Source organism: Homo sapiens, chromosome 14 (genome assembly GCF_000001405.40).
Source record: "Homo sapiens chromosome 14, GRCh38.p14 Primary Assembly".
Lineage (NCBI taxonomy): Eukaryota > Metazoa > Chordata > Mammalia > Primates > Hominidae > Homo > Homo sapiens.
In genome coordinates this window covers 74,795,873-74,813,389 of record NC_000014.9, presented here as the reverse complement: position 1 = coordinate 74,813,389, position 17,517 = coordinate 74,795,873, and the positions used below count along the sequence as shown (strand labels likewise).

The 17,517-nt window shown below is 40.1% G+C and overlaps 1 protein-coding gene across 6 annotated transcripts in view; it reads right to left on the bottom strand.

Moving 5' to 3' along the window:
* Positions 1 to 17,517, bottom strand: part of YLPM1 (YLP motif containing 1) — a 74,003-nt gene that overhangs the window by 23,929 nt on the left and 32,557 nt on the right. For 4 of the 6 annotated variants that reach the window (XM_011536966.3, NM_019589.3, XM_047431591.1 and 1 more), the window contains 7 exons: positions 13,693 to 15,810; positions 10,714 to 10,834; positions 3,593 to 4,010; positions 3,388 to 3,480; positions 2,970 to 3,165; positions 1,652 to 1,770; positions 608 to 762 (listed from right to left, as the gene is read on the bottom strand). In XM_011536966.3, coding sequence (XP_011535268.1) covers positions 608 to 762; positions 1,652 to 1,770; positions 2,970 to 3,165; positions 3,388 to 3,480; positions 3,593 to 4,010; positions 10,714 to 10,834; positions 13,693 to 15,810 — 3,220 coding nt within the window. The remainder of the gene's footprint in view (positions 1 to 607; positions 763 to 1,651; positions 1,771 to 2,969; positions 3,166 to 3,387; positions 3,481 to 3,592; positions 4,011 to 10,713; positions 10,835 to 13,692; positions 15,811 to 17,517) is intronic. The other 2 variants (NM_001411052.1, XM_047431592.1) reach the window with 1 other exon arrangement.

Sequence of the window (17,517 nt, the reverse complement as noted above, 5' to 3'; positions counted from 1 at the left end):
CACTTTACATTAAAAGATACAAATAGAATGAAAGGAAGGAAATGGTAAAAGATTTATCATGCAAACAGCAACCACAGGAAAGGTCAAGTAGCTATATAGTAATAGTAGGCAAAAAGACTTTAAAACAACAATCTATTAATTCTGTATATATGGAATTAAAATATCTGGCTGAAATCTCCAGTACCAGTTAATTCAAATGGAGTCAGTCTAATTATTCTGTAATAAGACAAATTTAATAGAATGCGCACATTTGGAGGTCACTAGGAAATTAAGCCTAAGCTAATCAAGTCTCCTAATTCTCCCTTTCTATTCCACACACCATAAAACCAAATCCACTTTTCCTCTCTTCAACGCGCAATTAATTGAGGTCTCATTAATATGTTTTAAAATTCAACATCTTTTTTGCCAAGTACTTTAGTGCTAAATTCTTAAAGATTCTATAGTGTAGGCCATTTATGAGATTATATGGTGATTTAGAGATAGTAAAACGTCTTGAATCTGATATTATTACTATGTTGCAGAAAAATAAAGAAATTCTTTTCAGGATATTAACAAGATCTCTTATCTTCTGGTTTGCACGAAGACGAATCAACTTCATAGGACTCACTCTCTCAGGTCTGCTCTCCCGGCCCGGTGGTTTCAAAATATCGTCCACATTCTTTGATTCAGGCTTCTTCTCGACTCGTGGAGCTGGAGGAGGCTGGTGGCTCAGTGAAGGAGCTGGCAGAGGCATTCGCTCCTCAGGATAAGTCCTTCGTTCTCCTAGGATTCCAGCAGTTGAACAAAATTACTATTTGTAGAGTAATTATTTTGAAATTCAACTCTCCCCACACATCCTAAGGTAATATAATTCAAACCAAGTCCAGTGATTTTGGGGCCACTTTTAACTTTAATTAGAGAAAATTTAAGGTAATGTAAAATCTACTGAAGTCAAGAAAATGAGAAGATTTAAGTATGATTTCAGGCAAATAGAATGTTCTGCAAAACACTGAATTCATCCTTGTTTGTATTAAATGTAGGAAAGTTAAGCAACAGGACATGGAAGAATAATAAATGCTTTGCTGGATAGTCCTAAGTTCTGTAACTTCTGCTTTATGGTTTTAAGAGTAAGAGTTATACCATCTTAGGAGAGCCTGTTCCTAAAAATAGGTATGAGTTTCTAGTTTAAGTGTAAATCATAGCAGTGAAAAACTAAAAGCAACCTAAATAACTAAGAATAAGGGTCTTGGTCTTATATTTTATCCACTCAATGGAATGTCACAGAGCCATTAATAAAATAGGTTTACATATGAAAAATGTGTATGGTGCAATATCAATCAGAACAATCACGATAAAGAAATTGTATTATTATACTTTGATTACAACTTCATAAATATGTCTGTAAAGAGCGAATGAGAGGAAAGCTACAAAATTATAATAGCTGTAGTATGGTAGGTAGTGAGACTATCAGTAATTTTGATTCTACTTTGTTTTAAAAATAAACATGCTTTATTTCATTAATTACACTGCTATTTTTTAGGACAATGCCACCAGCTCTAAGAAATCTGTGAATACGTTTTACTCTAAAAGTTTAAATTCATAGCTACAATGGAAAGCATCTCCCATGCTTTACATTCTCAACATCCTTGTAGTTAATAAGGCATCACTCTACCTCCAAACATGGATGGTCCTTCATAGACTGGTCGGTCAGACTTCCGGTCATAGGATGGCCTATCAAAACCCCCTCTTCTGGATGAGGAATGGTCTTTTTTGTCTCGATATGACTGAGCTCTAGAAGGTGTAATAGGAAGCGCTTCAGCAAATAAAAAATATTTGGGGTTCTCTGCTTTATAACGCAACAGCATTAACTGCCCAATTTTCTCTATAGGAAGGTACTCCACACAGTAAATGTTTACTTTTTTTTTTTGAGATTGGGGTCTTACTTTGTCAACCAGGCTGGAATGCAGTGGCGTGATCTCGGCTCACTGCAGCCTTGATCTCCAGTGTTCAAGCAATCCTCCCATCTCAGCCTCCTGAGTAGCTGGGACTACAGGTGCACATAACCACACCCAGCCAACTTTTGTTATTTTTTGTAGAGATGGGGTTTCGCCATGTTGGCCAGGCTGGTCTTGAACTCCTGAGCTCAAGAGATCCACCTGCCTTGGCCTCCCAAAGTGCTAGGATTACAGGCGTGAGCCACTACGCCCGGCCAATATTTACATTTTGACTTTGCTTTTTCATTTAGATTTACTTTATATACATACATCTAAGAAGTTCATGGGAAAGCTGGGCATGATGGCTCACGCCTATAATCCCAGCACTTCGGAAGGCCGAGGCAGGTGGATCACTTGAGCTCAGAAGTTTGAGATCAGCCTGGGCAACATGGTGAAACCACATCGTCATCAAAAACAAAAAAAAAATTAGCCAGGCATGGTGGCACATGCCTGTGGCCCCAGCTACTCAGGAGACTGAGGTGGGAGGATCACTTGAGCCCAGGAGGTGGAGGCTGCAGTGAGCTGAGACTGCGCCACTGCATTCCAGCCTGGGTGACAGACTGAGAGAGACCCCGTCTCCATACAAAATAGTAATGAATAAATAAATAAATAGTTCATGGGCTTGCCCCCCTTTCCCTTTTCCTTGGCTGGCTGCCAGAATGCCCTTAGGTATAATAATAATAATAATAATAATAAATAAAAAGCTCATGAATTGCAAAAATAAATTGCTTGCCTACTGAGTATGACTGCACCTTTATTGACAATACCATTTCCATTCCCTTCTGGCTATCTCCATCTCCCATTTAATTCTCTGGAATTCAAGCTACCAAGTCAAGGACCTACTTTCCTGAAAACTGGTCCAGAATTGTTCTTCCCCCTCCAAATTACATATACACATGCATGAGAAGAATATGTTACTTATTAAATTTCTCTTAAACTTTTACTGTTAAGTATACAGTAATTTGTACACCTAGCAAAGATTGTTTTATAGCATACCTATCATCTCGGGGTCGGCGTTCTCTGTCAAATCGATCCCGGTCATAGTCAATAACACCACGATCCCGGTCTCGATCTCTATGTGTCTCACGATCCCTTTTAAAATCTCGATGATCTGCTATGACATTACTTTGACGATCAAAATAAGGCTCACGATCTCTTTCTCTATCATAACGATCACGTTGGCCTGCATGCTCTACAAAAACAATTAGTACAAAATAACTATATCCCTTTTATAGAAATAAAAGCAGAAAACTATAAATCTAACTTCAGAGCTGGTATAAATTTTTGCCATAAATTCAACTAAGAATCTTTTAGCTGTATTAAATGGAGGCTCAGATAATCTCACCAAAAGGAAAATCATGTGATAATTAGGCCCTAAAATGTTTAAAAATACTGACCTCTCTGGGAATCCTACCTGTCTCAAAAGTTGATCTTTCAGGTAGTGGATCTGGGCGTAGAGTTATTCTTTCTCCATAAGGTATCTGTTCAACTTTATTAGTGGATATATCTGGTAAACAAAATCAGAGATAAAGTACTGTAAGAGTGAAGCTAGAGAAAGCTAAAGCTGAAGCTAACAATTCCTGTAGAATCCCAAATACAAGTGCACTATCATTACTCACCTCGGCCATGGCCATAATCAACAGTCTGTTGTACTGGTGGTGGCTTGGACATTGGTGGCATACCCATAGGCACTGGGCCAGGAGGGGGAATGGAAGAGTGAACAGGTGGGGGTGGTAATACTGGAGCAGATGGAATTGCTGCAGTTTCTGACTTAAATTCTGAATTCAGTCCTTGTTCATCATTTGTATCCCAGAGCCCATAGAAAGAATCTTCATCCCATCGTTCCTGTTCTACAGCTGAAGTTTGTGGCTTTATCACTGGAGGAGGAGGAGGTAGAGGTGGAGGAGGTGGAGGTGGTGGTATTGGGACAGGTGGCCTGGTCACAGGAACAGATGATCTTGCTGGTGGAGCAGAGGGTCTTACAATTGAACCTGGTGGTTTGCCCATAGGAGGGGGAGGTCTATACGACCCTGGAGGCTAGAGAACAGAATAAATAGCTTAGTGGACAAGTATACCACTATGTTTTTATAGATCAGTGGAAATTAAAATCTGGTTCTCAATTTATAAGAAAAAAGTTAACACCTTGGACTCATTCAAAATTTCGTGCTTCAAAACATACCATCAAAAAAAATGAGGACAAGCCACAGAAAGGGAGAAAACATAGGCAAATCTTATATTTGATAAAGAACTTGAATTCAGAATATACAAAACACTTAAACTCGGTAAGACAAATCATAAAAAAAAAAAAACTATGGCCAAAAGATGAGAATAGATATTTCTCCAAAGAAAATATATAAATGCCCAATAAGCACATGAAAAGATGCTCACCATCATTAGTCATTAGGGAAACACAAATTAAAATCCCAATGAGATACCATTTTCATATGCACTGGAATGGTTATAATTAATAAGACAGACAAAAACAAATGATGGCAAGGATATAGGAAAGAAAAACCCTTTTAGATTGTTAGTGGGAATAAATGGTGCCACTATAGAAAATGCTTTGCCAATTTCTCTCAAAAAGTCAAACACAATTTTTTTTTTTTTTTTTTGAGACGGAGTTTCACTCTTGTTGCTCAGGCTGGACTGCAATGGCGCGATCTCAGCTCACTGCCACCTCTGCCTCCCAGGTTCAAGTGATTCTCCTGCCTCAGCCTTCTGAGTAACTGGGATTACAGGCACCCGCCACCACGCCCAGCTGATTTTTTGTATTTTTAGTAGAGATGGGGTTTCACTATGTTGGTCAGGCTGGTCTCGAACTCCTGACCTCAGGCGATCCACCCACCTCAGCCTCCCAAAATGCTGGGATTACAGGCATGAGCCACCGCACCCGGCCAAACATAAATTTATCATATGGCTCAGCAATTTCATTTCTCGGTATCTATCCAAGAAAAATAAAAACATATGTCCATCCAAAGACTTGCACACAAACATTCATAGCCGTACTATTCAACAACCCTAATGTCCAACAACTGGTGAATGGTTAAACAAAATGTGGTATATTCATGTAACAGGTTATAAATAAAAAGAAATTTAAAAAGCAGTAAAAAGAAATGAAGTACTGAGTCATGCTACAACATGGGTAAACTTTGAAAAGAAGATAGACACAAAAGACTACATATTATATAATTCATTTATACAAAATGCCCAGAAAGGCAAATCTATATAGACAGAAAGTGCTGGGACTGGGGTAGGAATGAGGATTAACTAACTGTAAACTGGTGCAGTGATCTTACAGGGGTAATGAAAACGTTTTAAAATTTCCATACTCCAAATTAGGGTGGTAGCCACGTAAGATTCAAATGTCCCAGGCCAATACCAAATCTACTGAACTTCTGTAGGTGGGGTCCCACCAGTAATTCAAAATTTTAAAAAAACCCTCCATGAATAATTCTGATTTATAACCCTCGGTTAAGAACTATCTTCCTATGCTCAGTGTGCAGGAAGGAGAGAAATGAATAAATAAATAAGAACTATCTTCCTACTCTAGAGACCTATCTCCTCCACAAAAACAGTAAATTTTCAGTGAGAGAAATCCTAGATAGCCTCCACACTTCTGTTCCTTTCAGTTATCTGGTTGACAATAGTCATCTGTGGTGAAGCTGAGACCAACAGAGAACATGAGTACTATGAAACAACAAAATAAACTAAATGAACATCTAGTAATCTAAGGAGTGCCACTGTTGTGTGCCCTCCTTCCATTTGTTTTCCCAAAGCATCACCAGTTACCATCAGAAATGTCTATGATGGAGATGGTAGGACTTCTTAGCAAATTGGTCCTATCTACTCAATATTGAAACCCAGTTGCCAAATACATTTTATTTTTATTCTTTCTTTGGTAAAGACGGGGTCTTGCTATGTTGCCCAGGCTGGTCTTGAACTCCAGGCCTCAAGTAATCTTCTCGCTTCAGCCTCCCAAAGTGCTGGGATTACAGGTGTGAGCCACCATGCCTAGTCTCTATTTTAATCTTTGTAAGTGTGATTCAAACACTTACTTCCCATTTCTTAGTTCACTGTGTCTGGCTGGTTTGGTTTTATTTTTTTGTTTTTTGTTTTGTTTTGGTTTTTTACTTCTCTGTTATTCTAGGATGTTTTTTCTTTATTGACGCTATTTTAGATCCTGGAGAGCCCACAATATACATTATTTATATATTTGCCCATATATACACAGTACTTTAAAAATAAACTTTCTGAATAATAAAATGGAGTTGACTAATACAGAAGGAACATTATTTGACTGGAGGTAACTACTGGCTACAGTTAAAGACAAATGGCTATTACCTAAAGGTAAACTTTTAAAGTATGGCATGGTAAACTTTGTCAAGAAAATGCCAATATAGGATGAAGCTATTCAGTCTGGGTAGATCTATCAAGACAAGTTTTAAATATCTTAAGATCTCATAGATGTATACTTATAAATTTTTTAAAAACTGCTTTCTTCATTCTATATAGTGAAAGTAAAAGATACATTTTTTAAAATTATTGTTTATATGAGAAAGGGTTAATATCTATATTATATTAAGGATAATGAGTTAATTTAAAAAAAAAAAACCTGACTCAAACAGATAAATGGGTGAAGGACACAAACAGAATTTCTGTAAGAGGAAAGTATAATTAACAAATATGGGAAAATATTCATGTTCACTAGTAATCAAAAATGCTGTATTAAAATTATTAAATATACCAAAAATATTAAGTAGCTAATGCTTACGAGGCTATAGTATAGATGTTATACAATTATTTTTTTTCATTTATTTATTTATATATTTTTTTGAGACAGAGTCTCACTCTTGTTGCCCAGGCTGGAGCGCAGTGGCGCTATGTGCAACCTCTACCTCTCAGGTTCAAGCAATTCTCCTGCCTCAGTCTCCCTAGTAGCTGGGATTACAGGTGCGCACCACCTGGCGCGTGCCTGGCTAATTTTTGTATTTTTAGTAGAGGCGAGGGTTCACCATGTTGGCCAAGCTGGTCTTGAACTCCTGACCTCAGGTGATGCACTTGAGACAGAGTCTTGATCTGTCACCCAGGCTGGAGTGCAGTGGTGCAATCTTGGCTCACTGCAACCTCTGCCTCCCAGGTTCAAGCGATTCTCCTGCCTCAGCCTCACCTGTAACTAGGATTACAGGCACATGCCACCAAGCCCAGCTGATTTTTATATTTTTAGTAGAGACGGGGTTTCACCATGTTGGCCAGGCTGGTCTGGAACTCCTGACCTCTTGTGATCCACCTGCCTTGGCCTCCCAAAGTGCTGGCATTGCAGGCATGAGCCACCACACCCGGCCATTATACAACTATTATAGAGAGCTGTTTGGCTATGTGACAGGAATCATTTAAAAAGTATGCTTATTCTGGGCCAGGTGTGGTGGCTCATGCCTGTAATCCTAGCACTTTGGGAGGCTGAGGCAGGTGGATCACCTGAGGTCAGGAGTTCAAAACCAGCCTGGCCAACATGGTGAAACCCTATCTCTATTAAAAATACAAAAAAAATGAGCCAGGAATGGTGGCAGGCACCTGTAATCCCAGCTACTCAGGAGGATGAGGCAGGAGAATCACTTGAACCCGGGAGGTGGATATTACAGTGAGCTGAGATTGTGCCACTGCACTCCAGCCTGGGTGACAGACTACATTCCGTTTCAAAAAAAAAAAAAAAAAGTATGCTTATTCTTTGACTGAAGTGTCCCACTTTGGGACGTTAAAATCACTGTTGGCTGGGTGCAGGGGCTCACACCTGTAATCCCAGCACTCTGGGAGGACAAGGCATGAGGATCACTTAAGCCCAGGAGTTCGAGACCAGCCTGGGCAACAACGCGAGACCCTGTCCCTACTAACAATTTTTTTTTTTTATTATTAGCCAGGCGTAGGGTGTGTGCCTGTAGTCCCAGTTACTCAGGAGGCTGAGGTGAGAGAATCACTTGAGCCCAGGAGTTTGAGGCTCCAGTGAGCTATGATTGTACCACTGTATTCCAGCCTCCCAGGCAACAGAGCAAAAAAAAAGAGACAAAACAAAAACATAAAACTTACTCCTAAGAAGTTATTGGCCGGGTGCGGTGGTTCATGCCTGTAATCCCAGCACTTTCGGAGGCTGAGGCAGGTGGATCACCTGAGGTCAGGAGTTCAAGACCAGCCTGGCCAATTGGTAAAACCCTGTCTCTACTAAAAATACAAAAAATTTAGCCAGGTGTGGTGCCAGGCACCTGTAATCCCAGCTACTTGGGAGGCTGAGGCAGGAGAATCGCTTAAACCCAAGAGGTGGAGGTTTCGGTGAGCTGAAATCATGCCACTGCACTCCAGCCTGGACAACAGAGTGAGACTCCATTTCAAAAAAAAAAAAAAGGAAAAAAGAAAAGGAGTTATCTAAAATAAGAACCCAATACAAAGACATTCATTAGGGTAATATTAAGAATAACAGTGAAAGATTAGAAACAAATTCCAACAGAAATTGAATTAATTCAATAAATTATTGTAAATCAAAAAATAATATAGCATATAACAATATGGAAAGATGATTATGATTTGTTAAGCAAATAAAGCAGAAATGTGGATGTACAATCTGGCGCTTCTATTTACTAAGACACACAAAGATGAAAGATATAGTTATTATCTTATGGACTCAATTTAGAAAGAAAGACAAGAAAACAGACACTCAAAATGCAACATAATAAAGATGACAACAAAGACTAGTACAAGATGTTACAGGGTATGTACAAGGGTAATTGCCCTACATAGGTGGAAGAGAAAATAGTAGAGCTGAGTTGTAAAAGATAAACAAACATTAGCCAGTTGCAGGAGGGGATGGGAAGGCAAAGAAAAGACTCTAGGCTTAGAGAACAACATGCATACGCAAAGGAATGAAGAAGTAAAAGAATCTAGCACATTCACAAAATTGTTAAGTAGCTCTATGTGGAGGGAAAATGAAGCATCAGAGAGTGGAGTAGCAAGCAATGGTCAGCAGAGGTCAGGCCAGCTCAGGAAGAACAAGAAAGTCATGCAAGAGATTCTAAATTTCATCCTGAAGGCATGGGAGAACATTGAAGTTTTAAAGCCAGGTAGCCACATGGTGAGATTTGTTTTAAAATGTCCATCTGGCCACAAATCACATCGACGCTGCCTGAAGTGGAGTATAGGGGTAGTCCCAATCTCAAAAGGGCATGAGAGAACTTTTTAGGGTGATGAGAATTTTGTTTTGTTTTGTTTTGATTTTGAGATGGAGTTTCGCCCGTTGCCCAGGCTGGAGTGCAATGGCGCGATGTCGGCTCACCGCAACCTCTACCTCCCGGGTTCAAGTGATTCTCCTGCCTCGGCCTCCTTAGTAGCTGGGATTACAGGCATGCGCCACCACGCCCGGCTAATTTTGTACTTTTAGTAGAGACGGGGTTTCTCCAAGTTGGTCAGGCTCATCTCAAACTCCCGACCTCAAGTGATCCACCCGCCTTGGCCTCCCAAAGTGCTGGGATTACAGGTGTGAGCCACCGCGCCTGGCCGAGAATTTTTTTATCTTTTGGTATACATCTGTCAAAACTCGAACTATAGGCTTAAAATGGGTGTAATTATACTTGAGAATTTGATTCAAAGGAGGTAAAATCAATCAGCAGCAGGGTAGGACAAATCAGCAAGATGGAGCAAGATGGAGGGTTGATTTTCAGGTTTCAAGTTAGGGTGACTAGGTGATGGTGAGGAAAAAAGACAATTTAATGGGGTATGATAACGAGCCCCATTTTGAATATGCTGCATTTGACAGGAGTCACATCCACAGACAGAAACCCTGCAGACAGGTAGATGCGTACAAAGGTCAGGAGATCCGATCTGGGGAGTCAACAACACCATGGTGGTCACTGATGTCAACAACTATGTCTTACTGTTAAGTATTAGACCAGGATGGAAGGGAACACTGAGAAATGAAAAGTGTTAATTTGATGAAATGGTTCAGTAGAGGTTCAGTAGAGCTGTTTTCTTCATTATGCTGTCATAAAACTACCTGCAAGATAACATTTTAAACATTTGAAAAGCCCATTACTGGCTTAAAGGTAAAATAACAAAAATAAAAGAAGTCCTGGCATGCTCTTGGGAAAAAAAGGAGAACTTAATTACTCAAGTCTTTAACATAAACACCCCTTTTCATACTGCCTGAACAGTTCTGAAGTATGTACTGGGGTATGACATTTCCCCATCTGAAGGACTAGTAGCCTGAAGAGGTAGGAAGCATCACGAGGCCCACATCTAGCCCTGCCTAGATGGAAAACAGGACTTTTTTTTTTTTTTGGTAGAGATAGGGGTCTCACCATTTTGCGAAGGCTGGTGTCAAACTCCTGGGCTCAAGCAATCCTCTCGCCTTAGCCTCCCAAAGTGCTAGAATTACAGGTGTGAGCCACTATGCCCAGCCAACAGGACTATTTTAACATAAAAATTATTAGAAAAATTCTACCATTTTGTGAACAGAAGCTATGTAGTTCAGGTGTACTTGGTGTACTTATCAAAATCTGGGGAAAAGGAGCATCTCTACCACACTTTTGAACATGCTTTTAAGGTGTTCAAAGTTCAATTACCATAAACTTTTAAGTTTCCAAAATTTACATTTTATAGAGGAAATTTGTTATTTATTCAACTTCTAAAAAAAATCAAACAACATAGAAACATACAAAGTAGAAACCATTTCATTTTCTGAGCACACATTCTCCCATACCGGATACATTCCAGGTCTTGAAGATGTATTCTGCAATCTTGATTCCTGAGGTGGTAGATGGTCAGCCATCTGTGGCTCAGACCCGAAGTCTTTCATCTTTTGAAGCTGTTCTTTCTGTTCCCTGCAAACAAATAAAATTGACATAGTACATAAAGCATGCTTATTCCATTCCTAAGTGACTACAATTAATATTTAATTAAAAAAAGGAGACCTAAAAAATCCTTGTCCTAAAATTCTCTGCAGTGGCCATACACTGAGCAGCTCCAGGATTACCCTCTTTTGCTTTTATGTAGCTAACTCATCAGTCATTTAAGACATATAAATAATTATAAATTATTGAAGATATTCAAGAATAGATTCTACAACCTGCCTCAGTTGTTTTCTACTATCTCATCTACTTGTTATGTTTTTCTTTAATCCAACCAAAAGCTCTCTTGCTATTTTTTTTTTTTTTTTTTTGAGACAGAGTCTCACTCTGTCGCCTGGGCTGGAGTGCAATGGCGCGATCTCAGCTCACTACAACCTCTGCCTCCCGGGTTCAAGTGATTCTCCTGCCTCAGCCTCCCGAGTAGCTGGGTCTACAGGCATGCACCACCGCGCCCGGCTAATTATTTGTATTTTTTTAGTAGAGACGGGGTTTCACTATATTGGCCAGGCTGGTCTCGAACTCCTGACCTCATGATCCGCCTGCCTCAGCTTCCCAAAGTGCTAGGATTACAGGCGTAAGCCACCACGCCCGGCCTATTTTTTTCAACTCTTTAGACCAGAGGTTGCAAAATGGTGGCCCATGGGCCAAATATGGCCTAAAAAGGTTTTCAAAATGTGGCTTTCACATCAGTTTTTAAAATTTGAAATTAGCTGTCATATTTACAAAGCAAAATATTTCATATATAAATTCAAATCTTAAAGAGATATGGTAACACCAGGCCTACATTCCCACATGCCAACAATCAGCTGAGTGCAGTAGAGGCTGCCCATGTTAGATGAAACAACCTGTCACAATCTTCACCGTACTCTACAGAGTTATACTTGGCCCACTTTCACTCATTTTTGTTATCTGATTCTTGGGGACATTTTAATTTATGGCCCCTGCTGTAGATGGTGAGAACAACTGTCAGTCTATACCTTTAAAAACAACATTTCATATTCCTGAAGATAATTATGTAATCCTTCGGTTTTTTCTTTAAACTGACGAAATTCCTTTTACTTTTTTTCACAATGCCTACCTTAAACATAGGTAAAATCCACTACAATTTCTTAAGACCTTTTACAATTTTCTCCTTACATTAAAGTGACCCAAATGAGGGTCCACAAATGAGGGACCACAAAGTAAGGGTCAAGTGTGTAAGATTATTTACTGCTCAGGTAAATCCCATCATCACATCCCTTATGATACTCCTTACGACTTTACACTGACACAACATAAACGACTTGTATTCGGCTATGACATTATCCATCACTCCCTATATATTGTTTAATTATGTTCATGTTGCCTAGAAAGCTTTAAAAAAGGATGAAGCAGCAGCAGCACCTTTTATCCAGCATTACCATGCAAAGCAATAACGAATTAAAAAGAAATTTAAAAAGGAAAAAAAAAGAAACCTTGGCAGCTTAACAACACCAATCAGCTTGGTATTCTCCATAAATAACACAGATTTTAGAGTTTTAGACAGATTGAGTTCAAAGGCCGGGTTTGCCACTTACTAGCCAAGGGAACTTAACCTCTTTGAACTTTAGTGTCATTTGTGAAGTGGGGATAATACTACCTTATCTTTGCAGGCCTTTGAGATAGACAGACTGACATAATATACACTCAATTATTAGCAAGTGCCCAGTTACACGGTAGGTGTTAAAATTAAAGGTGTCTATAACTTAAAAGTGAATAGTGTAGTAGCTAAATATTCTATAGCATGCTTTCCACATTTTCTTCATGAGTAATCTGGAAAAAATAAACCTCTTAGCTATAGACCATACAAACCTGCCGTATCTGGTCTTTCATCATTACCTTTTCTTCACCGTATTTTTCTTTCCTAGTTCTAAAGTTTAAGTTATAATTTATTGTTAAGATCCACAAATGTAAACCAGAATTGAAAAATGGAAGAAATACATTGGAATTTATCAAAACCTAATCATTAATTGACTTTCTCAAAAAAATTGCTTTAAAAAAGTTTTCAATCTGTCACTGACTTCTAAATTCCTATCCCAAGATACAGCTGGTTTAAGGATTAAATGAGTTTATTATACACAACACACTTAGTACAGTTCCTGGCCCGGAGTAAGCATGCAATAAATGTTAGCTTTTGTTATTGTTGTTACCACAAGAAAAGAGGAAAATTATGTAGATACCTATACACAGTTGATTGTAAGTCAAGAAATCCTATTTTCCATTTCACAAAGAAAACATTTGGTTATGTAGAAACAAATAACATCCTCAAGGAGAAATATCTGCTTTTAGTTATAATGAAAGATAAAACATCCCCAAAAGAAAGTATCAATAGTTAAGACAAATCTGAGGATGCTCCTAAGCAAACCATTCTTAGCTTCAACAAAGAAAAATACAGCACTTTCCAAAGTTTTATCAATGATTAGTGAATATAAAGTCTATCAGATCTAATACCAAAGAACAAACTGATTACTGGAAAAAATGAAGGTTACACATGAACCCTGTGAAATCCAGAGCACTGAAAAGTTGAAGTTTGACACTTGAAACATGCACAGGCATGGCATGCCAGCAACACTTCTACAAAGGCCAAGACAGCAATCAATTTTCACATCTTAGGGCATAAGTTTATCATTAACACAGTTCCTAAATACCCATTCTAACCCTAAAACAGCACTGAATGACCAGAAATATAAATTAAAAGTATGTGATAAGAACTTGAAGTAAAATGATTCCATTCAAATATATCATATCACTTTAAAAAGAGCAGTCTGAATGTGGTTTTTATTAAAAGAAAGGATCTGAAGGAGTCAACTTACCGAAGCATTTTCAGTTCTTGTGCAGCTTTCAAAATGATTTCATGCTGCCTCTGACTGAGAACCATTACCCCTCCAAGGCCTTGGTCAGAGTCTAAGCTTGCATCGGACCCCATCATTTCTGAGGAATGATGTGAGGAGGGCATATGTTCCGCCATGGGGGAATGTCTATCCACATCAGATGGGTACCATCTGTCTGACAACCGTTCTCTTTCCCAGTCCATTCTGTCAGGAACATAATCTCGCTTTTCCCGCCATGTATCTCCTCTTTCTGGATACTCTCGAATCCTCAACTCACCCCTATCACGGAAATCTCGATCATACCCATGCTCTCGATTTCTTTCTTCTCTCCATCTATCATCCCGATATCTATCCAAAGGTGGAAGAGGTGGGAGGGGCGGTAAAGGTGGAAGAGATGGAATATCCCGTTCACGAAACTGTGATTCTTGTTCATCCAGTGGTCTCCCATAATCTCTGTCCCACTCATTATCCAAACTTCTATCATACATATCCATAGGTCTTGAAATCCGATCCACATCCCTGTCCATGTCCCTTTCCATTTCCCTATTGTAGTCCTCATCCATATCCTGGTCTCTCTCCCAATCATCCCACCAAGGGCCTCGCCTATCTCCATCATGAGACCGAGATGGTGGTGCTGAGAACCTGTCCTCTCTGTTATAGAGCTCTAGTGTATCATCTTGATAGTCACGTTCACATTCTCTCCAGTATCTCTCTCTATCCCAGTCATCGAGTCTTTCTCGTTCCATTGGAGCATTTCTACCATCTAATGGAAACTCTTCATGCCCTCGCTCTTCTCCATGGTTCCATGGAGCCCTAGGAGGCTCATCCCGGTGATATGGATACATTTTTTCCCCACCATCTCCTGGTTCTGGTCTGAATGGACCTCTATCACGACCAAAATCTGATCTTCCCAGTCCCCTTTCTCGACTGCCAGGCCCTCGAGGTGGTCCTCTCTCCCTGCTCCCAGCTCTTCGGGGTGGTATTCTCTCTCTACTCCCAGCCCTTCGAAGAGGTCCCCTCTCCTGACTGCCAGCCCTCCGAGGTGGTCCCCTTTCTCGGCTGCCAGCTGCACCCCTGTCCTGGCTCCCTTGAAGACCACCTGGCACTTTCTCCCGACTGCTTCCAGGCCTCACCAACCCTCTGTCCCGGCTACCTTCTCCTCTGTTCATCTTCTCTCGACTATCTTCTCTTCTACCCATCATCTTATCCCGAAAGTCTTCTTGCTTGACCAATCCTGGGCCTCGACTGATTGCCTGGCCGCGACCTCTGTTTACTAGACCTTTATCCCGTGTGTCTTCCATTCTGCTTTGCCCAGGACCTCTGTAAGATGAGCTGTTGCCTCTATTGCCTTCTAATCTATTATCTCTATTATCTGGCCGAGGCAGGCCTTTATCTTGGTTGTTTTCTGAATGGGGTAGACCAATACCCACAGGTTTAAAATCATTATCTGCTGTTAATGATGATGTTGCTACTGCTGTTCCTCCCTCCATCCCCCCTGTTTTTGAAGGAAAAGTAGATTGAGCAGGTACAGGCTTATTCGCAAGGGGTACAGGCTGAGTAACAGCTTGGGCTTTGTCGATTTGAGTCTCCATACTTTGAACATTCTGGTCCCAATTAGAGGGCTCTACGGGCCCTTCCGAGACTTCACTTTTAGGTGGCTCTTGTTGAGAGTCGCTTAGATTCTCATTTGACTGAGCCGCCTTGACATCCTTTACATCTGCAGCAATGGAAAATGCAGCTGATTGCATTTTAAAATTCTTCTGCTGGTTACTACTGGTGTCTGCTAATGGTTCTTTGTTTCCTGAAAGAGGTTCTGCTTGTGACTTAGGTTGCTGCTGATGCTGCTGTCCAAAAGCTGGTTTGGGGCCTTTCCACTGTGGTCCACTCTGTCGAGGACTTAGGGATGTACTGGGGGTAATATAAAATTGAGATGCTGGCCCCCGGGGAATCATTCCCCACTTGCTTTTAGTGCCCTCTGCTGGGTGACCTTCATATCTGGGTCTTGGCCCATCGGGGCGATTTCCTTCAAAACGAGGCCCTTTGGGTCTCGGTCCTTCACACCTTGACCCTAAATCCTCAAATCTTCGAGGACCATCAAATCTACAAGTAAAACAAAAGATATTACTCAAGACAGTAAAGCAGAAAAAAAAAATTCTCCATGTAAGAATATTTAAGGCACTCTTGCCTTAGAATTTGTTTACAACAATGACTCTTTTCAGTCATTAAATTAATCCTGAGTCACCAATATCTTAGAACCAGTATGTTAAGGTGGCAGTGCTCAGAAGGTCTTAGGACAGGCTTTGGAAATCATGTCAGTATTATCTAACTTACTTCAACACATCTCCTGCCGCAAGTCACTGATATACTGAACGGTTAAAAAGCAATTACAGGCCTGGCGCAGTGGCTCACACTTGTAATCACAGCACTTTGGGAGGCAGAGATGGGCAGATCACCTGAGATCAAGAGTTCAAGACCAGCCTGGCCAACATGGTGAAACCCTATCTCTACTAAAAAAAAAAAAAAAAAAAAAATACAAAAATTTAGCCAGGTGTGGTGGCAGGTGCCTGCAAATCCCAGCTGCTTGGGAGGCTGAGGCAGGAGAATCACTTGAACCTGGGAGGCAGAGGTTGCAGTGAGCTGAGATCACGCTATTGCACTCTAGACTGGGTGACAAGAGTGAGACTCCGTCTCAAAAAAAAAAAAAAAAAAAAGCAATTATAAATACTGTGCCTTAGGAGACAGAAAAGGCTGCTCATTTTAAAGAGAAAAAAATTAACAAATTCCATAACTAACTCTGAGCACTTCTGGAATTAAATTGTAACTAAAAACTAAATATGAAAAGACTAACAAGAAAATATAGGATGATTATAAATATTGTTAGAGCTAGCACTAACATTTTGATTGACAAAAGTTAAAAAAAAAAAAAAAAGAAACAGTAGCCCTATCTTAAGAGTAGGTTCTGACATTTTAAAAAGTCTGCACAGTTATTTTTGCTATAAACCCACTTGCTCATCCAGTAAAAAGAAAGTACACATCCTTTATCTGTCAGGCATTACATTACATCCAAGAGATACAAGAATAAAATGTCATATGTGCCCTCAAAGAGTTTACAACAAAATATAAAGATAATCTAAGTGTAAATAAGTACCAAGAGATGTAATGTCTCAAGTCTATGTGTACACAATAAGGAAAACAGAATTGGAGAGGCTTATGTTGAGTTTTAAAAGACAACTTCTCTGAAATCAAGCTGACAGAATGAGTTGGAGATGAGGAAAGTATGTGGCAAGGGCACCTCAAGCTAAGGAAGCAAGAGGAAAGGCGGAGAAACGTGTATCAGCAGAGCATGTTTGGAAGTGCAAATAGTTTAGCATGGCTAATGCAAAGGGGAAACAGAGTCAAGAGAGCTGATAAAGAGGGAAATGTGGAAAAGCAGCACACTAAAAAATAAGGTAAAGAAGTAAGCGAGGATCACTCTCCAGAAGATTGTGTATGCCTCATGTGGCAGAGACTACTGGTGGTCTTCCAATACCCATTCCCCACTTATCTACAATAACAGGCCTCCTGTAGCTAGACACAAGGCCCCCCAGACAAGACTCTCTTTCTCAATATCTCTTGCAGCTAGAACTGGCAGCCAAGTTCTGGCCAAGGAGCTGAGAGTGAAAATGATTTGCACATCTTCTGGGTTGTCCCCTTAAAGGAAAGGGCACATCCTCCTCTTCTCCATTTCCTTTTTCATGCTGGTTCTGACATGGTGGTGAAATATCCAAGACCAGGTAAATCAGAAGGAACTGGATTCCTGAACCATCA